Raw genomic sequence first — 26,535 nt, 5'->3', positions numbered from 1 at the left:
GTTTCAGTTTGTGGACTATGTCCTAATCCTTACCCTTGAATTCCTCAAAGTAAAAATAAAACAGTATCTGGCATTACCTCATGGGGTTTTCTAGTCCTTCTCCAGTAATGCTACATACAGATCTGATTTCAGAGTGCACAGAAGTTCTCTAGTACTTTTAGTGCTACTGGCCCTGACTACGGGAGGAAGGGGATAAAGGAAGGATGAACATGAGTCCACTAATAATGCACTAAGAGGACCTAGAGATGAGTGCAAAGGGGAATAAAAGCTTATGATTACACGTGTTGATGCACACCTGTAAGGGTCAAGGATGGGGTAAAGCCCTTGAAATGTAAGGCACACATTTGGCAATGGAAAATCTAATAAGGCAAGACGGCCGAATAGGAACAGCTCTGGTCTGCAGCTCCCAGCAAGATCGACGCAGAAGGTGGGTGATTTCTGTATTTCCAACTGATGTACCCGGCTCATCTCATTGGGAGTGGCTGGACACTGGGTGCAGCCCACAGAGGGCAAGTAGAAGGAGGGTGGGGTGTTGCCTTACTCGGGAAGTGCAAGGGTTCAGGGAATTGTTTCCCCTACCCAAGGGAAGCCGTGAGGAACTCAATATCTGCACTGCAGTCTGGATACTGCACTTTTCCCATGGTCTTCATGACCCACAGACCAGGAGATTCCCTTTGGTGTGTACACAATCAGGGCCCTGGGTTTCAAGCACAAAACTGGGCGGCCATTTGGGCAGACACTGAGCTAGCTGCAAGAGTTTTTTTTCCATACCTCAGTGGCACCCGGAATGCTAGCGAGACAGAACGGTTCACTCCCCTGGAAAGGGGGCTGAAGCCAGGGAGCCGAGTGGTCTGGCTCAGTGGGTCCCATGCCCACAGAGCCAGCAAGCTAAGATCCACTGGCTTGAAATTCTCACTGCCAGCACAGCAGTCTGAGGTCGACCTGGGACGTTTGAGGTTGGTTGGGGGAGGGGCATCCACCATTGCTGAGACTTGAGTAAGCGGTTTAGCCTCACAGTGTAAACAAAGCTGCCTGGAAGTTCAAACTGGGCGGAGCCCACTGCAGCTCTCAGCAAGGCCACTGGGGCCAGACTGCCTCTCTAGATTCCTCCTCTCTGGGCAGGGCATCTCTGAAAAAAAGGCAGCAGCCCCAGTTAGGGGTTTATAGATAAAACCCCCATCTCTTTGGGACAGAGCACCTGGGGGAAGGGGCGGCTGTAGGCACAGCTTCAGCAGACTTAAACATCCCTGCCTGATAACTCTGAAGACAGCAGTGGATCCCCCACACAGCGTTTGAGCTCTGCTAAGGGTCAGACTGCCTCCTCAAGTGGATCCCTGACCCCTGTGTATCCTGACTGGGAGACACCTCCCAGTAGGGGCCGACAGAACCTCATACAGGAGAGCTCTGGCTGGAATCTGGTGGGTGCCCCTCTGGGACGAAGCTTCCAGAGGAAGGAACAGGCAGCAATCTTTGCTGTTCTACAGCCTCCGCTGGTGATACCCAGGCAAACAGGGTCTGTAGTGGACCTCCAACAAACCACAGCAGACCTGCAGCAGACAGGCCTGTTAGAAGGAAAATTAACAAGCAGAAAACAGCCACATCAACATCAACAAAAAGGACGTCCACTCAGAGACCCCATCCGAAGGTCACCAACGTAAAAGACCAAAGGTAGATAAATCCATGAAGATGGGGAGAAACCTGGGCAAAAAGGCTGAAAATTCAAAAAACCAGAATGCTCTCTCCTCCAAAGGATCACAGCTCCTCACCAGCAAGGGAACAAAACTGGATGGAGAATTGAGTTTGATGAATTGACAGAAGTAGGCTTCAGAAGGTGGGTAATAACAAACTCCTCTGAGCTAAAGAAGCATGTTCTAACCCAATGCAAGGAAGCTAAGAACCTTGAAAAAAGGTTAGGTGAATTGCTAACTAGAATAACTAGCTTAGAGAAGAACATAAATGACCTGATGGAGCTGAAAAACACAGCACGAGAACTTCATGAAGCATACACAAGTATCAATAGCTGGATCAATCAAGCAGAAGAAAGGCTATCAGAGATTGAAGATCAACTTAATGAAATAAAGCGTGAAGACAAGATTACAGAAAAAATGAAAACAAACGAACAAAGCCTCCAAGAAATATGAGACTATGTGAAAAGACCAAATCTACGTTTGATTGGTATACCTGAAAGTGACAGGGAGAATGGAACCAAGTTGGAAAACACACTTCAGGTTATTATCCAGGAGAATGTCCCCAACCTAGCAAGGCAGGCCAACATTCAAATTCAGGAAATACAGAGAACACCACAAAGATACTCCTCGAGAAGAGCAACCCCAAGACACATAATGGTCAGATTCACGGAGGTTGAAATGAAGGAAAAAAATGTTAAGGGCAGCCAGAGAGAGGTCAGGTTACCCACAAAGGGAAGCCCATCAGACTAACAGCAGATCTCTGCAGAAACCCTACAAGCCAGAAGAGAGTGGGGGCCAATATTCAACATTCTTAAAAGAATTTTCGTGGCACACGCCTGTAATCCCAGCTACTCTGGACGCTGAGGCAGAGAATTGCTTAAACCTGGAGGGGCGGAGGTTGCAGTGAGCTAAGATCACGCCACTGCACTCCAGCCTGGGCAACAGAGCAAGACTCTGTCTCAAAAAAAAAAAAAAAAAAAAAATTTCAACCCAGAATTTCATATCCAGCCAAACTAAGCTTCACAAGCAAAGGAGAAATAAAATCCTTTACAGACAAGCAAATGCTGAGAGATTCTGTCACCACCAGGCCTGCCTTACAAGAGCTCCTGAAGGAAGCACTACATGGAAAGGAAAAAGCGGTACCAGCCACTGCAAAAACATACCAAATTGTAAAGACCATCAACACTATGAAGAAACTGCATCAACTAACGGGCAAAAAAACCAACTAGCATCATAATGACAGGATCACATTCACATATAACAATATTAACCTTAAATCAAATACGGGCTAAATGCCCCAATTAAAAGACACAGACTGGCAAACTGGATAAAGAGTCAAGACCCATGATTGTGCTGTATTCAGGAGACACATCTCACGTGCAAACACATACACAGACTCAAAATAAAGAGATGGAGGAAGATCTACAAGCAAATGGAAAGTGAAAAAAAGTAGGGGTTGTAGTCCTAGTCCTGATAAAACAGACTTTAAACCAACAAAGATCAAAGAGACAAAGAAGGGCATTACATAATGGTAAAGGGATCAATGCAACCAGAAGAGCTAACTATCCTAAATCTACATGCAACCAATACAGAAGGACCCAGATTCATAAAGCAAGTTCTTAAAGAGCTACAAAGAGACTTAGGCTCCCACACAATAATAATGGGAGACTTTAACACCCCACTGTCAATATTAGATCAACGAGACAGAAAATTAACAGGGTATTCAGGACTTGAACTCAGCTCTGGACCAAGCAGACCTAATAGACATCTACAGAACTCTCCACCCCAAATCAACAGAATGTACATTCTTCTCAGCACCTCATCACACTTATTCTAAAATTGACCACAAAATTGGAAGTAAAACACTCCTCGGCAAATGCAAAAGAATGGAAATCATAACAGTCTCTCAGACCACAGTGCAATCAAATTAGAACTCAGGATTAAGAAACTCACTCAAAACCACACAACTACATGGAAACTGTACAACCTGCTCCTGAATGACTACTGGGTACATAACGAAATGAAGGCAGAAATAAAAGTTCTTTGAAACCAATGAGAACAATGACACAGTGTACCCGAATCTTTAGGACACATTTAAAGCAGTGTTTAGAGGGAAATTTATAGCACTAAATGCCCACAAGAGAAAGCAGGAAAGATCTAAAATCGACACCCTAACATCACAATTAAAAGAACTAGAGAAGCAAGAGCAAACAAATTCAAAAGCTAGCAGAAGACAAGAAATAACTAAGATCAGAGCAGAACTGAACGAGATAGAGACACAAAAAACCCTTCAAAAAATCAATGAATCCAGGAGCTGGTTTTTTGAAAAGATCAACAAAATAGACCACTAGCCAGACTAATAAAGAAGAAAGAAGAGAATATTCAAATAGATGCAACAAAAAATGATAAAGGGGAGATCACCACTGATCCCACAGAAATACAAACTAACATCAGAGAATACTATAAACACCTCTACTCAAATAAACTAGAAAATCTAGAAGAAATGGATAAATTCCTGGGCACATACACCCTCCCAAGTCTAAACTAGGAAGAAGTCAAATCCCTGAATAGACTGATAACAAGTTCTGAAATTGAGGCAGTAATTAATAGCCTACCAACCAAAAAATGTCCAGGACCAGATGGATTCACAGCCAAATTCTACCAGAGTGTACAGGAGCTGGTACCATTCCTTCTGAAACTATTCCAAACAATAGAAAAAGAGGGACTTCTGCCTAACTCATTTTATGAGGCCAGGCCAGCATCATCCTGAAAGCAAAACCTGGCAGAGACCCAACAAAAAAAGAAAATGTCAGGCCAATATCCCTGATGAACATCAATGCAAAAATCCTCAATAAAACACTGGCAAACTGAATCCAGCAGCACATCAAAAAGCTTATCCACCACGATCCAGCTGGCTTCATCCCTGGGATGCAAGACTGGTTCAACATACACAAATCAATAAAGGTAATCCATCGCATAAACAAAACCAGTGACAAAAACCAGATGATTATCTCATCTCAATAGATGCAGAAAAGGCCTTCGACAAAACTCAACACCACTTCAAGCTATAAACTCTCAATAAACTAGGTATTGAGGGAACGTATCCCAAAATAATAAGAGCTATTTCTGACAAACCCACAGCCAATATCATACTGAATGGGCAAAAACTGGAAGAATTCCCTTTGGAAACCAGCACAAGACAAGGATGCTCTCTCTCACCACTCCTATTCAACTATTCAACATAGTATTGGAAGTTCTGGCCAGGACAATCATGCAAGAGAAAGAAATAAAGCGTATTCAAATAGGAAGAGAGGAAGTCAAATTGTCTCTGTTTGCAGATGACATGATTGTATATTTGGAAAACCCCAACATTTCAGCCCAAAATCTCCTTAAGCTGATAAGCAACTTCAGCAAAGTCTCAGGATACAAAATCAATGTGCAAAAATCACATGCGTTCCTATACACCAATAACAGACAGAGAGCCAAATCACAAGTGAACTCCTATTCACAATTGCTACAAAGAGAATAAAATACCTAGTAATATAACTTACAAGAGATGTGAAGGACCTCTTCAAGGAGAACTGCAAACCACTGCTCAAGGAAATAAGAGAGGACACAAATAAATGGAAGAACATTCCATGCTCATGGATAGGAAGAATCAATATTGTGAAAATGGCCATACTCCCCAAAGTAATTTATAGATGCAATGCTATCCCCATCAAGCTCCCATGGATGTTCTTCACAGAACTGGAAAAAACTATTTTAAATTTCATATGGAACCAAAAAAGAGCCTGCATAGCCAAGGCAATCCTAAGCAAAAAGAACAAAGCTGGAGGCATCATGCTACCTGCCTTCAAACTATACAACAAGGCTACGGTAACCAAAACAGCACGGTATTGGTACCAAAACAGATATACAGACCAATGGAACAGAACTGAGGCCTCAGAAATACCACCACACATCTACAACCATCTGATCTTTGACAAACCTGACAAAAACAAGCAGTGGGGAAAGGATTCCCTATTTAATAAATGGTGTTGGGAAAACTGGCTAGCCATATGCAGAAAACTGAAACTGGAACCCTTCATTACACCTTTTACAAAAATTAACTCAAGATGGATTAAAGACTTAAATGTAAGACCTAAAACCATAAAAACCCTAGAAGAAAACCTAGGCAATACCATTCAGGCATAGGCATGGGCAAAGACTTCATGACTAAAACACCAAAAGCAATGGTAACAAAAGCCAAAATTGACAAATGGGATCTAATTAAACTAAAGAGTTTCTTCACAGCAAAATAAACTATCATCAGAGTGAGCAGGCAACTTACAGAATGGGAGAAAATTTTTGCCATCTTCCCATCTGATAAAGGGCTAATATCCAGAATCTACAAAGAACTTAAACAAATTTACAAGAAAAAAACAACCCCATCAAAAAGTGGGTGAAGGATATGAACAGACACTTCTCAAAAGAAGACATTTATGCAGCCAACAAACATATGAAAAAAAGCTCATCATCACTGGTCATCAGAGAAATGCAAATCAAAACCACAATGAGATACCATCTCACACCAGTTAGAACGGCAATCACTAAAAAGTCAGGAAAAAACAAATGCTTGAGAGGATGTGGAGAAATAGGAACACTTTTACACTGTTGATGGGAGTCTAAATTAGTTCAATCACTGTGGAAAACAGTGTGGCGATTCCTCAAGGATCTAGAACTAGAAATACCATCTGACCCAGCCATCCCATTACTGGGTATATACCCAAAGGATTATAAATCATTCTACTATAAAGACACACGCACATGTATGTTTACTGAAGCAGTATTCACAATAGCAAAGACTTGGAACCAACCGAAATGCCCATCAATGATAGACTGGATAAAGAAAATGTGGCACATATACACCATGGAATACTATGCAACCATAAAAAGGATGAGTTCATGTCCTCTGCAGGGACACGGATGAGGCTGGAAACCATCATTCTCATCAAACTAACACAGGAACAGAAAACCAAACACCGCATGTGCTCCCTCATACGTGGGAGTTGAACAATGACAACACACACAGGAAGGGGAACATCACACACCGGGGCCTATTTGGCGGGTGGGGGGCTGGGGGTGGGATAGCATTAGGAGAAGTACCTAATGTAGATGACGGGTTGATGGGTGCAGCAAACCACCATGGCACGTGTATACCTATGTAACAGACCTGCACGTTTTGCACATGTATCCCAGAACTTAAAAGTATAATAATAATAAAAAAAAAACTAATAAGGCAGGATTGAAGTATGAGGCTGGTAGAGAGATATAAACAAAAGCAAAAAAAAAAAACGACAAAGAGACATGTTGCAAGTTAACTGCAAAAGCAAACACCTCATAAGGGGGAAATACTTTGTAAATAAAGTATGTAAGAATAATCTATGACAGGAAATGCCAAGAGCCGAACAACACAGGCGTCACATTCTGGGTGTGAAAGATGAGAAATCTAAGCAAAACACAAAGGCCCCAGTCTCTTAGGAGGCTTAGATAATTTAAACGTCGACATTATAAATATTTTCTTCTCCCAAGTGAGGGGAATCATCATCATGGATAAGCGGGGGCAGTTCCCCAAATGTACAATGTCTTTTTGTTCTCTTTTGAAAAATCAAGCTGACAGTAAAACAGAAGTAAGAATTACTTCCCCTAGAGAAGTTATAGCAAATACCCTCTGGAGGATGATAGGCATTTTTAGTAACATACAAGTCTCCTCTTTGGTGGGCTTATAATAAAGGAAGGAAAGCACTGTCCCCCCACAGACACGCAGGCAGGCTCCTCAAGCCTAGAAGGGCCTTTCCTGCCACCAGGTGGAATGTGCCAACCTACTCCTCCTCCAGGAAGTGAAATGTAAACACAAGCTGCTGCTGCATGTCCCACAGCTTGTGACTTCAGCATCTTATTCAGTTACTAGAAACGGGCAGTGTGGGATTAAATTTTCTTTTCAAGCATAAGATAATCCACAGAGAAGAGCAACAAAGCACGACCAGCCTAAAGTCCTGCGATTGATTGTAGGTGTGAAACCCAGTATCAGATAACGGAACATGCTGTTCATTGGGGAGTTGCAGAGGCACGTATCTGATGGACTCCACATACTTTGATGGGTTACCAGGGCCTGAGGTTTAGGGTGACACAGGCTAAACACGTTAGTGGGTACAATGCTAGGGATACCTATCAAAGGGACAAGTGACGGCACTTCACAGAACTCACCCCAGTACGACACCTAATTCTTTCACATGGACTCGTGTGTGTCCCCGGAGATATTCAGATAGCATTTTACTTTTAAGGTACATCTCCTGTAGTCTATCTTCAAGATGCATGATGCACTGCAAAGCCAAGAACATTCACAATGAGGGCTAGAAGTCAAATCTCTGCCAATATTTTAAGAGTCAGAATTTTCTTAATTCATTTCTAACTACACAGCTTTTATCTCATCAGTTTCAAATACACTTAAAAAATCACAAGCCATCTCAAACCCTACCACTACCAGGTATAAGAATAGGTTCTTGTAAAACAAAGTTTACTTTTGCTAACTATTAAGATTTACATATGTATTATTCTAGTCTTTTTAAACAAGTATTTTTTTCATAGTTGAAATCATTCCAAAAGTGTTTCTTGCCTTTAAAAAACTTTATAATAATCCTTTCCCATATTAAGAACTTCTTGATATAATTTTTATAGCTAAACAATATTGAGAATGTGAATTTACACGTAACCACATAGCAAATTGCATTTTTGTTATAAATAATTTAGTAAACAGTATGGTTTTTGTTTTTTTCCCCCAATAGCTCAGATTATTCTGGCCCAGTACATTTCCAGAGGAGACTGACGGGAACAGGTCATTTTGAACCTCCCCCACAACTTTTTTTTCTTTTGCTTTCAAGAATGTATTTTAACTAGGTCTTTAATAACAATAAAGAAAAGGCAATTATTTTCAGGACATCTTTACCCTTGGAATAGTGTTCAGCTTCATTTTTTTAGAGAATAGCAACCATCTGTGTCTTTCACCAGAGGCAAATGCTTTTGCATTTGGCAGGCAGATACCCGAGCATCTTCAGTAAGACACCTGATGGCTTTGGCAAGGGTAATTCCATCATACCTAATTTTCTTCTAGACCATTAGGCCTGTTATTTTCAAGGTAAAAAGATTAACAGATGCATTTGAAAATGTTGATCTTGACCATCTGGGCTGATCAACGACATGGAAAAAATATCTATCAGAGATGCAATCTTTTCAGTTTTTCATTGGTTTAAAATCTTAAATACATTGTGTCAGGTGGATGAAACACAACTGCTAAGTGACTAAGAGTAATAAAGTAAGGAGGATTTCACCAATTCTCATGGAAATGCTCCTCCAAGTAAACAAGGTGGTAAAAGGATCTTTATTAGCTTTCAGTTCCTTATGGAGTGAAATAGAAAATTTTTAGTAAGAGTCACAAAATATTAAAAATAATATTCATATTACATTGAACCCTTTCTGTTTGGAAAAAGTAATTACAGTGTTCACAGCCTATATGAAAACTGTATGATGCAGTGTGGAAATAAGAACTGTGGTCTATATGAAATATATACTAGACGTGAAATCAAAGCATTTAGACAACTTTTAGCCAGTCATAGTGGCTCACGCATGTAATCCTAGCACTTTGGGAGGCTGAGGTAGGAGGATCACTTGAGCCCAGGAGTTCAAGACCAACCTAGGCAACATAGTGAGCCTCTGTCTCTACAAAAATTAAAAAATTACCTGGGCATAGTGGCCCACACACCTGTAGTCCTAGCTAATCAGGAGGCTGAGGTGGGAGGATTGCTTGAGCCTAGGAGGTCAAGGCTGCAGTGAGCCAACATCATACTACTGCACTATAACCTGGGTGACAAAATGAAACTCTGTCTCAAAAAAAAAAAAAAAAAAGAAAACATTTTTTAAAAGACTTGATTATTCCATTGAACCATGCTGGGGGCTTTTTAAACTCCTCTTTCTGGGATTTTATTCCTGAGATGGATTTCTCCAATTTTTAACTTCTAAAATTTCAAATAGCTACCTTCTCTTTTTGTATTGAAGGTTCTAAAAGCCATTTAATCACAGGTTTCATTCAAGTGATTTTTTTTAAGGAGAATTTTAAACTGCAGATAAAATTTTCTTTGATCTTGGTTTTGTCAGGTTAAATAAGTCATTCACACTAGTAAGTGCTTGAACACACTTCTGTCCAAAGGAAGTAAAAAGAATTAACTATAACAATTTATTGCTTTGATAACCAAGATATCAACTGTGACAAGACGTATGTATTATAGAATGAAATATAAAAGTTTGGCAAATACTTATGAAGTAAACTATGAAGTCTAATATACATTACTTCTCTTACAGAAAAGGAAACATTAACCTCTAAATCAGCATAACTCAACCTGCTTTTAGAAGGAGAAACTGCCTACTACTGTATAACAAAAAATAAGATCATAATAATCCACAAGTGCTTCTCATATTGCCCCAGGACAGATGTCTTGCAAGAGTACGCTTCAGCTTAAAGCCCAAATAAACAGTTTGGAAAAAAGGTGTTGTCAGTCTTTGCAACCATTAATATTGTTTCATGAAACTAATTGTTATTGACTATCATACTAATAGTAGCTGTTTACTGAGTGCTTATAACATCTAACACTATTCCAAGTGCTTTACATTCATTCTCTAATATAATTTCATAACCATAGGAGATAGGTTCTATTATTTCCCCAGCTTTGCAGATAAGGAAATTAAGGCTTTGAAAGAGTACATGGTTAGGAAGTAGCAGAACTTGGATTTGACCCCAGGTTATGGGGCTCTAAAGCTAACATATATGGCTTTTAAAGTATTTTATAATATTGGCATGGTGCTTTAGCAGTAAAAAGCAGTTATATCCCTAATTTTCAGAAGATTCTCACAGCACCCTTGTTGAACAGGTACTATCTTTCTTTTACAACTAAGAAAGCTGAGGTTCGGAGAGACTCGGGATTGTCCATTGTTACACAACTAACCAACGGCAAAGCCTAGACCATAACCCAGCTACGCTCAGTGGTCTTCCTGCCTTGCCACACTGTCCCGACTTTGATAACAACCAGACGGTATTTCAGAGCACCTTCTTCAAAGTCATAAAAGTCTAGACTCTTTTTGAGGAATGGGTACAAGTATAGATTTGGTCATAAAAACCCAGGACAATGACCATTACATTAGCAATTAGCGTAGGTAATTAATATTTAAAAACTTCCTGCTTTGTTGGGTAAACAGGTTTGCATCATTTTTGGAGGCCAGGAAGCAGATAACAGATGTTTTGGTTTGGGGCTGTGCTGCAGAGAACAGCGCTGTGCAGACAGGAGGGAACAGCAGAGAAAGCAGACTCTTTCCTCACACACCTGTCTCTGAGGTCAGCCCATCCAAGCTCTACCCAGCTATATGCCATATGCCCTTAAGCTTCTCTCTCTCTTTTTAAGTGTTCATCACCACTGGAAAAGCTTTTCTTCTTTTGAAACCTTTCCCCCTCCCTCTCTAAATGTATTTTCTCTTTCTTTCAATTTCTCTGCACATACGCAGATACTGAGAAGATTTTGTCATGCATGTTAATTCCAGTGGCTGGGGGGAGCTACTGATACTTTTCTAAGAGTGTATAGGCTCTGTCTGTTGTTTGTATTTAAAGTATTGTTACGAAAGTGATTTTAAAATCCCATTTGGAAAGAAGCGGATTGCTTGAGCCCAGGAACTCGAGACCAGACTGAGCAACATGGCAAAACCCATCTCTACAAAAAATACAAAAATTAGCTGGCATGGTGGCACATGCCTCTAGTCCAACTACTCAAGAGGCTGAGGTGGGAGGATCACTTGAGCCCAGGAGGCGGAGGTTGCAGTGAGCAGAGATCATGCCACTGCACTACTCACTCCAGAGTGAGACTCTGTCAAAAAAAAAAAAAAAAAAAAAGCAACAATTGATATAATCTTACATGTGTATAGTACTTTAAAGCTGGAAATGTTGGAAATGTTTACACAAATGATATTCTATTTTATCCTTAACACCTTTGTGAAAATGTTTGCTTAATAAAAGGAACTACAATCCCTTCAGAAACTGGCCTACTTATTAAAATATCAATCTAATAAAAGGAGAACTCATGAGTTCTCCAGTGGATGATTTACAGTTTCCTTTTATGCTTGATCTCTCCACCCATTCCTTATTTACTGCACCATATACCTCATTCCAAAAAATTCCAGTGCCGCTCCTTGTTATTTGTTTCACGGAAGAGCTATTACTACTGAAATCTATCCTGTTGCGAGTTTTATGCTGCATGTTCTAGTTTTAGTTATGCTAATCTCCAATTATATTAAAACAGTACTTTTGAATTTGTGATTTTATAATCAAAATGTCGTTAAAAGCATTTTAAAACTAGATTTCTTTGGTGATATAAGAACCAGTACTTACAAAATCAGCAGGGAGGTGAAGCTTATAGAGCTGTAAAATGGACTGAAGCAAACTGGACACCTGACTAGAGACCAGGACATCCTGGCCTAGTTTCATGTTGTCCGTCACTTTCCTCTGACTTGTAGCTACCTGCACACTCCATTTATCCGTGTCTGCGATAATACAGACAGCTTCAGCTATTGGCTCATCCAGGACTGGATGCTGAAAAAGAAACACAAAGGGATGGGTTTATTTATCCAGGTGAGTCCAAAAGGTCAAAGTTTCACTACTGATAAATACATTTAAATGTAAAATTCTTGACAGCCAGGCAGTTATGGATAGAGCAGATTTAACAACTGGTAAATTATGCCATAGGGTAAATAGGGTAAACACTGAAGCAGTCACAAGGACTTTTTTAAAGACCTAATTTCTCAAAACAAATCAAAGTGTAACTGCTTGGGAGGGATGGGTGGGGGAGGGGGAGGATAGAGAGAGCCAGAGACAGAGAGACCTGCCTCAAAGCCAATGCACATATGCACATTCTTCTAACCCTCATTTACCAAGGAAAATTAGTACTGGCTGCTTCCGTCCTTACTCCTTTCTACTATCCTGGGGTGACTGCTTGATTCTTTTGGCTGCTTAAATAACTTCCTCCAATAAATCCATCCGAATTTTCCTTTGAAGAATGATCTTTCTTAGACAAGGCCCGGTGAGACTGCAATCGGGTCCATCCTTCCTCTATCACAGTGTGTTTGTATGGCCCAAGCTATGCCAGCTGGATGCTCCTTCCCTGGGAATTCCTTGTTAGTACCAGCACAGAAGACCAAAAATGGTTGGCACCAGCATATTCCTGCCCAGACAGCAATTAGTACAAGGCCTGGTGGGACTTAGTACAAACACCTTCAAGTAGTCCATGGTTCCTGGAACTCCAGAATTGCCTTGTTGCCTATTTGAACCCTAATTCTTTTGACTTCTCATCAATTCTATACATTCCTAATATTCCTTCACTAAAGTCCCTCCTGTTTAAGTTAACAAGAGTTGCTAATTGCAACAAAGAACCCAAAGAGATATACAGCTTTGCCACTGGACCATGGTTACCTGTAATTTTTACGACTTAATCCAAGTAGTGGGAAGGCTGCAAATACAAATCAAAGATGCATGATGCAATACTGTAATTTTAACAGGTGATCTGACTCCCTAGTCTTGGACTCTGTCCTGTGCAGCTTTGTATTCCTTCTCACAAATGGGAAAGAGAGTGGTGAGATGAATGAAAACTTCGTGCGGACCAACATTTTTTCCTACTATTATCCAAGGGGGAATAGTAGGAAAAATAGTAGGAAAAACCCTGGTAATAGGGTTTATATTTTTCCCTATTATCAGGGTTTATAAAAATATAAGGGTTTAAAAAGATATAAACCCTATTATCAGGATTTATATTTTTCCCATTGAAAGGAACAGCAATCAGGCAAAGTCTGATGTTCAACATTTATTTGTCTGTTCAAATAATTTTAAACATGAGAGATAAAGAATTTGATAAAGTATATTTTTGAATTCATAAAGCCCAGTTTCCCAAGACAGTTCTCATTTTGTAGAATTGTTAACTGAAAAGTACAAAGATTTTCTTACACACATAATGACCCCATCACCATTTTCAACCAAAGGTTTTCATGACCCTTTCACCCCTACGCTTCTTACACATGCATATATACAGTCTCCAAAACGGACAACTAAAGATACAAGGCTTCAGTGACTTCTCTTTACAAGCTCCTCCAAGGTCTTGTTCATCCTGTGTTATAAATTTATATCAAGATGATGACGACTTGCCATCAATGAGTCTGGTCCTTATGGAAAAAAAAAAAAAAGGAAATTTGAACACTTCAAATATTTGTATTTTGAGCTCAAACTCCTTCACTGCTTTGCATTTGTCAGAAATCCACAACATGCTGGTCATGCCACGGGACAGATCTATATTAGAGACCTTTCTCTCATACTGACCATATGTCAACATAGAGACAATGAGTTGAACGTATGCCTGTCACCTTTCACAGTGAATTCTAGCTTTTGCAAAGGGCAAGGGGAGGAGGAGGATTGATTTGCAATAGGTAATTTGGACCCTAGGTTCAAATCGAACTTAGTCTTCTAAATGATCTTCCCACTGCAGTGGTAGGGAAGGGAAGAGTGTGTCAATCCCCAACAGTGCATAGACTATAAGTTATATAGTACCACTACCAACACAAAGTGCTTTGTTTTAAGCAACTAACTGCTGGAATAAGGGCCAAGAGGCATACTAGGAAGGTGATGGATGGAAGATTCTGCAAGCTTAGGTTATATCAGAAGGCTGTAGATTTACATGCAATAACAAAAAGGGACAGAGAGGTTGGCTCAATTATTTTAAAAGTAAGCATGCAAGAGAAATGTAAAACTAAAAAATACTAACATGAAAAATCAGCACAAGTCTTTGTATTTATTTATTTTTTAGAGACAGGGTCTTGCTTTTGCCCAGGCTGGAGTGCAGAAGTCTGATCACAGTTCATAGTAACCTCAAGCTCCTGAGCTCAAGTGATCCTCCTGCCTCAGCCTCCCAAGTAGCTGGACTACAGACATGTGCCACCACACCTGGCTAATTAAAAAAAACGTTTTTGTAGAGATGGGGTCTTGCTATGTTGCCCAGGCTGGTCTCAAACTCCTGGCCCCAAGTGCTCCTCCCACCTCTGCCTCCCAAAGAACTGGGATTATAGGTGTGAGCCACTACATTTGGCCTCCAAAGTTTCTTACTTTTTTTTTTTTTTTTTGAGACAGTCTTGTTCTGTTGCCCAGGAGTGATGTGGTGCAATCTCGGCTCACTGCAACACATGGCTCCTGCGTTCAAGCGATTCTCATGTCTCCTGGGTAGCTGGAATACAGGTGTGCACCATCACACCCACCTAATTTTTGTACTTTTGTTAGAGACAGGGTTTTGCTGTGTTGGCCAGGCTTGTCTCTAACTCCTGGCCTCAAGTGATCTGCCTGCCTTGACCTCTGAAAATGTTGGGATTATAGGCTCACAAGTCATTTTTAAATCACTGGAGCAAAGAGGCAGAATCTGAGGTAGAGACCTGAGTAAAGACGAAAGAACAATGAGTACACAGATTGAGACAAACTGACAAGAATTTGCGGGAGTCCATTCCTTGAAAGTGGGGCTGAATCTTCTCTCTGCATCCTTAGCCTCTAGCACAGGAGCTGGCATTTGAAAAATGTTACTTGCTGAATGAAAATGAGACAGATTAAGCACAAGCAAATGACAAGAGTCGATGAGCATCTTGTGTTCCTTACAGCATGGATTGCTGACTTTTATGCATGCAGGCCCCAGGAACAGAAAAGAACCAGCAGAACCTTTTCAAAAGAGAAAAAACTCCAAGAATTACATATTCTCAGGCTACTAAATACATAACACACAATTCCCTGAATCAATCCAATTGCCTCCATCTAACTATATCACTTAGTAGCTACTTACTTATTTACTAAAGAATAAACACCTTTTAAAGGAAGAACAAACTAGAGGGAAGTCTAAATATTCAAGAAAAGAAATGAATGCTGGAAAGAGATAAAAATATCATCAACTACTTTTAGTTACAATTCAAGGGCCACCGGGGCCACTGCTGGCCATCCCTGATCAGGCCTGAACTTGCACAGGGTCAGAGAGTTGAAGCTAAAGTTCTGGTGACTGGAGATTTCTGATCATCTTTCCAAAGGAAACTCAACCCCATTAGAGACTGGGCAGTGTAAACATATTATGATCTGGCTTATCAGTCAATCTCTAAGTTTTCAGAATTTAAAGAACTCTAAGATCTAGAAAACTATGTTTGGATTTGTCACAGAAATACATACCTGCACACTATGCCCTGGAATTCAATTTAACATTCCTCTTGGGTTTTTTTTTTTTTTTTTTTTTGAGACAGAGTCTCACTTTGTCACCCAGGCTGGAGTGCAGTAGTGCATTCTCGGCTCTCTACAACCTCCGCCTCCTGAGCTCAAGCAATTCTCCTGCCTCACCCTCCGGGTAGCTGGGATTACAGGCACCCACCACCACACCCAGCTAATTTTTTGTATTTTTAGTAGAGACGGGGTTTCACCATGTTGGCCAGGCTGGTCTCGAATTCTTGACCTCAAGTGATCCACCCACCTCGGCCTCCCAAAGTGCTGGGATTACAGGCGTGAGCCACCGTGCCTGGCTGGGAAGACTATTTTTTAGGCATCTATAGAACCACAATAAACAAACACTGAATTATATGTATGCTTCTTTATAATACTATTTCTTACTAGCCATACCTTAATAGTAGAAGTTAGTAAATAGTGAAATCTGTCAAGTAAGTTTTTTAAGTTCACAATTTTATCAAGTTCACATGCATAGCAGGTTTCATACATACACTTATTTGCAGTAACATACATGTAGCAATACTTTTAAGAAATTAAGTATTCTAAAAAATACGAACCTAAGATTGACTGATTTAAACACCTATGAAAAGCCTAATCCACTATCTGCTCTTCTTAGGACTTGGAGTTTGGGCATGGGAACTAAAGAAAAGGAATAGGAAGGTGGGGCATGCCTGTACCCCAACGCTGACAACTGAACCATGGTGAGCCTCACTTTGGCCTCCCATACACCTTAAGGAAAAGGGAGATATGCTATGGATACCTGTCAGTTTAGTAAGATTACTTGGTAAAATTTCTCTTCTTAATGCTAACATCTTTTTTCCCAAAGGGTTTTGTTACCTTGACTAAATATCTCTAGAAAAACAAACCAAAAAGCCTACGTTGTATAGTTACCTTTTTTAAAAGTTCTCCTGCAAACCATTATTGTCTCAGATTAATCAGGTCCTCATTTCAGAGTTCCAAATGAAAATCTGAGAGAAACACTAATATTAAATATAGTCATTCCACTTAAGATGCCTGTTTGAGAAACTTTACAAACCTTATGGATGCTGACATCAATTACCCTCTTTTCTCTCAAGCTAAGGAGAATCAATTTTGAAATACGTTTCCTGTCCAAATAATTTATCAAATTCTCCTATTAGAATGGATCTGCGATATGTTTGTACTTCCTCCATCAGCTGAGAAAAGCACTGCCCTATCGCCACCCTCCTGAGTGCCCACACCACACTGAGTGTCCAACGGCAGCCAGGGTATCAATGCAGAGCTGCCAGCCCGGCACCTTCCTGCCACCCTCTCCAGACCACTAACAGCAGGTTACATGCCTCCCACAGAAACTTAATTGGGTAACTCGGAAACTTCTGACAGGGACTTGCGGATAGAAGAACATGGGAGGTGAGTAAGGAGCTGCAGACAATTGTTAAGGTGGACAGCCAGTCTCCAGAAAGAAAGGAGGTAGAGGCCATATGCCATTATCATTTTCCCCTTGCTGCACTCATATGAGAAGTTAGAAACAATCATTTATTCATTTCTACCTTGTCAATATCTTGTTTACCCAAACTACTTTCCTGTGAAGATTTTTCAAGATAGAGTAACAAATGAAATACCTTGTTTTATAAATCTTTAGAAGATTATTGAGTTTTCTTTGCTATTACAGCTTGTTGAATCAACAGGATCAGCCTGGTTAATTTGTAGCCTCTAAGGATGGGTCCATTTCCTGGGAGTGTTAAATGCCTAGGACATTCCAATTTCAAGGTTTTAGGTCAGATTGCCGCACACACAAAATATGCTGCCTTGATTCATATACACATGACTTCTGCTTAACTTAAACTTCCACGAACAAGAAATTGTCTACAAGGTTTAGAGAATCGCAAGAGCTGTGGTTCTGATAATTCAACAAAGGGCAACAATAAGATGACAGCAAGGGCTCTGAAGTCAGATTGGGCTTGAATACAACCACCGTCACTTACCAGCTGTGGAACCTCAGCAACTCAATCTGGGCCTCAGTTGCTATGTCTGTAAAATGGGATAGTACTTAGTTCAGAGCTTCTGTGAGGCTTAAATGCCATTTAAAGCACAAGTTTTCTGTGAGAAAAATGTGTTGAAACGTGTAGCATAGAACCCAACACATTAGGTGCTCAAATGTTCGTCCTGCTGTCCTGAACCACCCTCTCTCTGTATTGACCATGTCCCCTGAAACCTCAGACTCAGGAGCTCACAAATAGTGCAACTGTGGACAACACTGCCCTAGTTTATGTACTTTACCTAAAACCTCAAACTTCTTAAAATACCACATGATCATTTCCTTCACCAACTCTAAAATCTACGCTAGCACACATCACCCAAACCATTAAGTTAAAACTGTTCTTTCTTCCACACTTACAGCTCTTCACAGCCTGGGCCCACCCAATCTGTACATATTCAGTTCCCAATAAGACCCCTGATATGGTTTGGCTCTGTGTCCCCACCCAAATCTCATCTCCAATTATAATCCCATGTCGAGGAAGGGGACAGGTAGGAGGAGTTTGGATCATGGGGCAATTTCCCCCATGCTATTCTCGTGATAGTGAGTTCTCACGAGAGCTGATTTTTTTATTTTTTTTGAGACAGAATCTCACTCTGTTGCCCAGGCTGGAGTGCAGTGGCACAATCTCGGCTCACTGCAACCTCTGCTTCCCAGGCTCAAGTGATTCTCGTGCCTCAGCCTCCCGAGTAGCTGGGACTACAGGCACACACCACCATGCCCAGCTAATTTTTGTATTTTTTTTTTTTTTTTTTTTAGCAGAGGTAGGGTTTTGCCATGTTGGCCAGGCTGGTCGCAAACTCCTGGCCTCAAGTGATCCGCCTGCCTCGGCCTCCCAAAGTGCTGGGATTACAGACATGAGCCTCTGTGGCTGGCCGAGAGCTGACGGTTTTAAAGTGTGGTACTTCCTCGCATACGCTTGCTCTCTCTCCTGTTGCCTTGTGAAGAAGGTACTTGCTTCTCCTTCACCTTCCGCCATGATTGTAAGTTTCCTGAGGCCTCCCCAGCCCTGCAGAACTGTGAGTCAATTAAACCTCTTTCCTTTATAAATTACCCAGTCTTGGGCAGTACTTTACAGTTGTGTGAAAGTGGGACTAGTACAGCCTCCTTCTCCAGGCCAAAAAGATTCCTGCTCTTACCTCAGGTTGTGCCCAGAATGCCTTCCCTGCCACCCCATCTCAAGTCCACAATCCCTCAAGGACCTGGCGTGAGTCCATCCCTCGCCCTGGAAACCTTCCCACATGCACTGCACTGCTCTTCCTTTGACCTCTGAGAATACTTGCTGTCCACACCATTCATTTTGGCACTTCATCACACACTGTCTTAACTTGTTCTTGATTTCACATGTTTGTCTACTCAGTGATTTTATAAGTAACTCAAGGAGATAAATCACATTTCTTTTTCTTCTGCAGCCTTTGAAAGGAACATAACACAGTGCTGGGCATGTGCAAAATATCTAATACATTCTAGCTGTGGTGAACAGTTTATTTTTGGATGCAACCCAGTTCCTATTAAGTAATCTGTGCATTTCTTATTTTCTGGCAATATTATACCTCCAATGCACCATAATTAATATATTTCTTTTCTATGTACCACATTTAAATGACTAGTATTTCACGTGATTATCTATTTTTAACCCAATGAAGAGTGAGGAAATGCCGTTCTTGCATATATGCTTCCCATAACTACTTATTAATTCATCATGCCATTTCTCCTGAAGGGGGGCAGGAACACAGTACTGCTCTACAGATAGGAACACTCAGGACAAAAAAAAAAAAAAAAAAAAGAGCTTATTAAGTATCTTGGCATGTAAGAAATAAAGTCTAGGAACTCACAAGTGTTTCCGACTTTTAGCCCAATGAGTCTCCCAAGCCCTCTACTATAAAATCCAAGGAAATCCCTTAGAAGACAAGAGTGCAAGAAGTGTGAATGATGGTCTGAATTTATTGTCATTAGGAGAAAACACAGCCACTTCTATCATGCATGTTGCTACAAGTTCCCCATCTTTATGCTGCTTGACACTGACCCTTTATCAATCTTCAGAGATGTCTCAGCCCACATGTGTATTACAGAGAGCAGGAGTGTGAAGACTTCTGTATTCATAACCAGATCTAAAATCTGCACAATAGTTATAACAGTGTGGGTTTAACTATCAGGGATAAGCCACTGGGAAGCCTCTTTAAAACACAAAGGGAGGCTGGGCGCGATGGCTCACGCCTGTAATCCCAGGCTTTTGGGAGGCTGAGGTGGGCGGATCACAAGGTCAGGAGATCGAGACCATCCTGGCTAACACGGTGAAACCCCGTCTCTACTAAAAATACAAAAAATTAGCCGGGCATAGTGGCGGGCGCCTGTAGTCCCAGCTACTCGGGAGGCTGAGGCAGGAGAATGGCGTGAACCCAGGAGGCGGAGCTTGCAGTGAGCCGAGACTGCGCCACTGCACTCCAGCCTGGACGACAGAGCCAGACTCCGTCTCAAAAAAACAAAAAAAACAAAAAACACACACACACACAAAGGGAACAGGCAACTTATGATTCAGGTAATTGGAAGCACTTCTCTCTATGTTTTTCTCTGAGATATTCTGGATAATAAAACACATGATTCTTTGGCTTCATTTTTTTTTTGTGTGTGTTAGCTTGATTTTATTTATTTATTTTATTTTTTTTGGGTGATAGCTTCTTGTAGTTTCTGATTTATTAATAAATGAGTAATATATAAATTTTTCTTTGCTTTTTTTTTTTAATTGATCATTCTTGGGTGTTTCTCACAGAGGGGGATTTGGCAGGGTCATAGGACAATAGTGGAGGGAAGGTCAGCAGATAAACAAGTGAACAAAGGTCTCTGGTTTTCCTAGGCAGAAGACCCTGCGGCCTTCCGCAGTATTTGTGTCCCTGGGTACTTGAGATTAGGGAGTGGTGATGACTCTTAAGGAGCATGCTGCCTTCAAGCATCTGTTTAACAAAGCACATCTTGCACCGCCCTTAATCCATTTAACCCTGAGTGGACACAGCACATGTTTCAGAGAGCACCCGGTTGGGGGTAAGGTCATAGATCAACAGCATCCCAAGGCAGAAGAATTTTTCTTAGTACAGAACAAAATGGAGTCTCCTATATCTACTTCTTTCTACACAGCCACAGCAACAATCTGATTTCTCTATCTTTTCTCCGCATTTCCCCCTTTTCTATTCGACAAAACCGCCATCGTCATCATGGCCCGTTCTCAATGAGCTGTTGGGTACACCTCCCAGACGGGGTGGCGGCCAGGCAGAGGGGCTCCTCACTCCCCAGAAGGGGCGGCCAGGCAGAGGCACCCCCCACCTCCCGGACGGGGTGGTGGCCGGGCGGAGGCGCCCCCCACCTCCCTCCCGGACGGGGCGGCTGGCCGGACGGGGGCTGCCCCTCACCTCCCTCCCAGATGGGGCAGCTGCCGGGCGGAGACGCTCCTCACTTCCCAGACGGGGTGGCTGCCAGGCGGAGGGGCTCCTCACTTCTCAGACGGGGCGGCTGCCGGGCGGAGGGGCTCCTCACTTCTCAGACGGGGCGGCTGCTGGGCGGAGGGGCTCCTCACTTCTCAGATGGGGCGGCTGCCGGGCAGAGGGGCTCCTCATTTCTCAGACGGGGCGGCCAGGCAGAGACGCTCCTCACCTCCCAGACAGGGTTGCGGTGGGGCAGAGGCACTCCCCACATCTCAGACAATGGGCGGCCGGGCAGAGACTGGGCAGAGACACTCCTCACTTCCTAGACTGGATGGCGGCCGGGAAGAGGCGCTCCTCACTTCCCAGACTGGGCAGCCAGGCAGAGGGGCTCCTCACATCCCAGACGATGGGCGGCCAGGCAGAGACGCTCCTCACTTCCCAGACGGGGTGGCGGCCAGGCAGAGGCTGCAATCTCGGCACTTTGGGAGGCCAAGGCAGGCGGCTGGGAGGTGGAGGTTGTAGCGAGCCGAGATCACGCCACTGCACTCCAGCCTGGGCAACATTGAGCACTGAGTGAACGAGACTCCGTCTGCAATCCCAGCACCTCGGGAGGCCGAGGCTGGCAGATCACTCGCGGTTAGGAGCTGGAGACCAGCCCGGCCAACACAGTGAAACCCCGTCTCCACCAAAAAAATACGAAAACCAGTCAGGCGTGGCGGCACGCGCCTGCAATCACAGGCACTTGGCAGGCTGAGGCAGGAGAATCAGGCAGGGAGCTTGCAGTGAGCGGAGATGGCAGCAGTACAGTCCAGCTTCGGCTCAGCATCAGAGGGAGACCGTGGAAAGAGAGGGAGAGGGAGACCGTGGAAAGAGAGGGAGAGGGAGACCGTGGAAAGAGAGGGAGAGGGAGACCGTGGAAAGAGAGAGAGAGGGAGAGGGAGACCGTGGAAAGAGAGGGAGAGGGAGACCGTGGAAAGAGAGGGAGAGGGAGACGAGACGGTGGAAAGAGAGAGGGAGGGAGACCGTGGAAAGAGAGGGAGAGGGAGAACGTGGAAAGAGAGGGAGAGGGAGACCGTGGAAAGAGAGGGAGAGGGAGACCGTGGAAAGAGAGGGAGAGGGAGACCGTGGAGGGAGACGGAGAGGGAGAGGGAGAGTCTTTGGCTTCATTTGAACTCCCATTTGTTATTCATTTTATATAATTCTGGTAAGTTTAATACATTTATTAAACTGTACTTTAATAAGAGGATGCTACATGACAAAATACCTTTCCACAATAATTCTCCTTATGTTACAGCACCATGACTTAATATTAGCTTTTATGTAGCTGTAAGAAAGGCCTTTAGTCAGTCATGCAAAGAGCTCATGATGAATGTGATGACAGTCACCTTCTCAGCACTACTCTTAAAGGTCCTCAGATCCCCTTTGGTATTCCTCTGCCTCCTCAGAGGAGAAGACCCACCTATATAACTGCATCCTCCATAGCCTTGGAACTGAAGATTCAGACCATACAAGGTCGTCCTTGGCCAACACACCCCACTAGGATGACTGAGAGCCACTAAAAGGACTGCAGAGGTGTGTGAATTGTAGACCAGTTTTTAAAAAAATAAAAACAAACCAAAAAACCCCTTCAGTCTCAAATCCATCCAGAGAAAAGAAATCTGGTTATCACTCATTATTCTTAAACCATCTCCTCCAATATATAAAGTCAGCTAGAATTTTTTTTATTATTATTATACTTTAAGTTCTAAGGTACATGTGCACAACGTGCAGGTTTGTTACATATGTATACATGTGCCATGTCGGTGTGCTGCACCCATTAACTCGTCATTTACATTAGGTATATCTCCTAATGCTATCCCTCCCCACTCCCCCCACTCCACCACAGGTCCCAGTGTGTGATGCTCCCCCTCCTGTGTCCATGTGTTCTCATTGTTCAATTCCCACCTATGAGTGAGCATGCGGTGTTTGGTTTTCTGTCCTTGCGATAGTTTGCTGAGAATGATGGTTTCCAGCTTCATCCATGTCCCTACAAAGGACATGAACTCATCATTTTTTATGGCTGCATTGTATTCCGTAGTGTATATGTGCCACATTTTCTTAATCCAGTCTATTATTGATGGGCATTTGGGTTGGTTCCAAGTCTTTGCTATTGTGAATAGTGCCACAATAAACATACGTGTGCATGTGTCTTTATAGCAGCATGATTTATAATCCTTTGGGTATATGCCCAGTAATGCGATGGCTGGGTCAAATGGTATTTCTAGTTCTAGATCCTTGAGGAATCGCCACACTGTCTTCCACAATGGTTGAACTAGTTTACAGTCCCACCAACAGTGTAAAAGTGTTCCTATTTCTCCACATCCTCTCCAGCACCTGTTGTTTCCTGACTTTTTAATTATTGCCATTCTAACTGGTGTGAGATGGTATCTCACTGTAGTTTTGATTTGCATTTCTCTGATGGCCAGTGATGGTGAGCATTTTTTCATGTGTCTGTTGGCTGCATAAATGTCTTCTTTTGTGAAGTGTCTGTTCATATCCTTTGCCCACTTTTTGATGGGGTTGTTAGCTTTTTTCTTGTAAATCTGTTTAAGTTCTTTGTAGATTTGGATATTAGCCCTTTGTCAGATGGGTAGATTGCAAAAATTTTCTCCCATTCTGTAGGTTGCCTGTTCACTCTGATGGTAGTTTCTTTTGCCATGCAGAAGCTCTTTAATTAGATCCCATGTTGAGTAGACATTCCTGACAGCAGTTTTACTGAAAGAGGGGACAGACAGACCTCCTGTTGGTGGCAAAGCCAGCTCTGAGATATGCTGAAGGGGTCATCAGCGAAAGGGGCTTCAGTTCCCTGAAAAAGCCATACTATGCCCTGCACTCTTCCCTGCTTCTCATCCTCACTCTGCTACTGACCCTAGCTGAGTCCTCACCACAGCCGCCTTGTGCGCACGTTCTCAGCACCCTGGCCTCCTGCTGCCACACACTTGACCACACTATTTTCACTGCTGACTTATTTCTATTTCCTGTTAGATCGCAAACTCCCTGAGGACAGATGCCATGTCTTCTTCTCTCTAGCTACTTCTAAGAGTTTTCTTTATCTTTGATGTCCAGTTGTTAAGTGTGAATTTGTTAATATTCTCCCTACTTGGGAGTCAGTGTGCTTACTTAACCTGAAAAATGCCAGCCATTCTTTCTTTGAATATTACTTTCCCTCATTTTCTCTATTCTCTTTCTGCATATGCTATAAAGTCTCTTCACTCTGGCCACCACATCTTTTACTTGCTCTTTGATATTTTTCATGTCTTTTTGTCTCAGAGCTCAAAAACATAATTTCTTAAGTAGCCTCCATTTCAAATTCTAATTATCTTTAGCTGTATTTAATCTGCTCTGTTCTTTAACCTATACCTGGAGTTTTAATTTCAGGGACTATTTTTCAATTTTAGAAGTTGTTTTTAGTTCTTACATGAATCTAAATGATCATTTATCACATTATCCTCTCTTTTTTTTAAGGTTCCAATTCCTTCTTTTTATCACCGTAAACACTTTAAACATGGCTACTTTAATAGTTATTGCCAACTGGAGGAGTGCTGATTCTCCTGCTTGTATGCGCTTGCCCTCCACTCATGATGATTTCCTGGTTTCCCACATATGTTTGTAATTTCTGAACGTGGGCCTATCTTACTGGAGCTATGTTTCATTTTCCTATATGCGTCTCATAAGCTTGTGGTTGTAGAAGTGTCTAAAGTAGTGTGCTTCCTTCTGCCAGAGTCCTAAAGGTTTCTATGCTTCTGGTTTTATGTTTATTTCTTGGGTAGGGATTCGCAAATCACTCGGGTAGAATAAATCTGGACCTGAAACCCACAAATAGCACAGACAGGGGGTTTTGATTTCTCATGGGTGACTTTATTTTCCCTAACCTGTTTCCAGCCTGTTTCTTTGCTGCTTCACTGCTTATGTCTGGTGATTTCTAGTCTCCTTTTCATGGAAGAATAGTTCTTTGAAGCTCCAGACTTTAGGTAAGGGGCTTGATTCCAGGTCTCAAGCCTTACATGCACACAAGACCACAGTCTTTCATCCTCGGGTGAATCTGAGAACTCAGCACCCAATTCCTAGGACCTGTATCAAGACTGAAATCCTGGAGGACCAGCTCATGCTTACTGCTTTGGTTTAGATTTCCATTTATCTCTGGCACAAAAGGATTTCCATTTTTTTTCATGACAGGAATTATAACAATGGGGCAGCAGTGAGGATGGTGATATTTTATCCATCACTATATAGTTTTAGAGGGGAGGCATGCCATCCACACCAGTTTAGTACATGTTGCTGGAATCCTCCTACCTCAGATCTTTTTTTTGGCTGGTCGGTGGGTGAGGGGGGGTGGGGGAGGAGACGGGGTCTCACTCTTTCACCCAGGCTGGAGTGCAGTGGCTCCATCATAGCTTACTGCAGCTTCGACCTCCAGAGCTCAAATCATTCTCCCACCTCAGCCTCCTGAGTAGCTGGGACCCTGGGCACACAGCCATCACGCCCCTGCTAATTCTACTTCAGATTTTGACTACTGCTATAAACACAGTACCAAGCACATAAAAGATACCTGATAAGTATTTTTCAACTGATAAATCTCTCAGGTGTGACTCTCCCCACTCTAACCCAAAAGCATCTCTGCCCCATCAGGTGACACGAGTTATCTCGACCACCTGAAGTGCCACCACTGGAGATTTCTAGTGCATCAAACATATTTTTAACACATGAAAATACCAGAAGGGGTAACAATCACATATGGCCTTATCATAACTCTAAAAGCATTTGCTTATCAGAAATTTTTCTCTTGGAAACAGGTTTAATGTCAGTCACTAAAGGCTTAAGAGTTGTACTAAGGTAAACAAGAGGAAGAGGAAAATTAATCATTTTGGACCTTGGGACATTGCTAAGGGATCCTTGTAGGTATACATGAAGACAGTATGAAGACTTAGGGGTAGAGGGAAAGAAGAAAGGGTTCAAAGTGTGGCAAGATGGTCTGGAGGGGTTCCGGGAAAATGTCTGATCTTCTGTGTATCTGTG

At 42.2% G+C, this 26,535-nt stretch overlaps 2 protein-coding genes across 15 annotated transcripts in view, besides 4 other annotated features; one reads left to right on the top strand and one right to left on the bottom strand.

Annotated features, from left to right (window-relative positions):
- The window catches only part of SPMIP2 (sperm microtubule inner protein 2), a 189,752-nt gene extending 179,086 nt beyond the window's left edge, over positions 1 to 10,666 (top strand). For all 5 annotated transcript variants that reach the window (XM_011531671.3, XM_011531672.4, XM_047449676.1 and 2 more), the window contains one exon: positions 10,083 to 10,666. In XM_011531671.3, coding sequence (XP_011529973.1) covers positions 10,083 to 10,097 — 15 coding nt within the window. In that variant the 3' untranslated portion in view covers positions 10,098 to 10,666. The remainder of the gene's footprint in view (positions 1 to 10,082) is intronic.
- FNIP2 (folliculin interacting protein 2) overlaps positions 1 to 26,535 on the bottom strand; it is a 139,025-nt gene that overhangs the window by 4,251 nt on the left and 108,239 nt on the right. For 7 of the 10 annotated variants that reach the window (XM_005263158.3, NM_020840.3, NM_001346043.2 and 4 more), the window contains 2 exons: positions 12,154 to 12,354; positions 7,935 to 8,050 (listed from right to left, as the gene is read on the bottom strand). In XM_005263158.3, coding sequence (XP_005263215.1) covers positions 7,935 to 8,050; positions 12,154 to 12,354 — 317 coding nt within the window. Of the gene's footprint in view, positions 1 to 7,934; positions 8,051 to 12,153; positions 12,355 to 17,676; positions 17,776 to 23,180; positions 24,235 to 26,535 lie in introns of those variants that run through there. The other 3 variants (XM_024454161.2, XM_047416021.1, XM_047416017.1) reach the window with 2 other exon arrangements.
- Positions 166 to 1,031: an enhancer, noted in NCBI's record as "OCT4-NANOG-H3K27ac-H3K4me1 hESC enhancer chr4:159823921-159824786 (GRCh37/hg19 assembly coordinates)". NCBI's record gives its function as "activates a minimal SCP1, AML or CMV promoter by ChIP-STARR-seq in naive and primed H9 embryonic stem cells {active_cell/tissue: H9 hESC(naive and primed)}" and the evidence as "EXISTENCE:reporter gene assay evidence [ECO:0000049][PMID:30033119]".
- Positions 1,032 to 1,897: an enhancer, noted in NCBI's record as "OCT4-NANOG-H3K27ac-H3K4me1 hESC enhancer chr4:159823055-159823920 (GRCh37/hg19 assembly coordinates)". NCBI's record gives its function as "activates a minimal SCP1, AML or CMV promoter by ChIP-STARR-seq in naive H9 embryonic stem cells {active_cell/tissue: H9 hESC(naive)}" and the evidence as "EXISTENCE:reporter gene assay evidence [ECO:0000049][PMID:30033119]".
- Positions 7,009 to 7,303: a silencer, noted in NCBI's record as "tiled region #14183; K562 Repressive non-DNase unmatched - State 23:Low". NCBI's record gives its function as "represses a minimal TATA promoter and a strong SV40 promoter by Sharpr-MPRA in K562 cells {active_cell/tissue: K562}" and the evidence as "EXISTENCE:reporter gene assay evidence [ECO:0000049][PMID:27701403]".
- Positions 21,666 to 22,646: an enhancer, noted in NCBI's record as "H3K27ac-H3K4me1 hESC enhancer chr4:159802306-159803286 (GRCh37/hg19 assembly coordinates)". NCBI's record gives its function as "activates a minimal SCP1, AML or CMV promoter by ChIP-STARR-seq in primed H9 embryonic stem cells {active_cell/tissue: H9 hESC(primed)}" and the evidence as "EXISTENCE:reporter gene assay evidence [ECO:0000049][PMID:30033119]".

The sequence above is a fragment of the Homo sapiens genome, chromosome 4 (assembly GCF_000001405.40).
Source record: "Homo sapiens chromosome 4, GRCh38.p14 Primary Assembly".
In the NCBI taxonomy this organism is placed as follows: domain Eukaryota; kingdom Metazoa; phylum Chordata; class Mammalia; order Primates; family Hominidae; genus Homo; species Homo sapiens.
The sequence above is the reverse complement of the archived record's forward strand: the minus strand, read 5'-3'. Positions and strand labels throughout refer to the sequence as shown.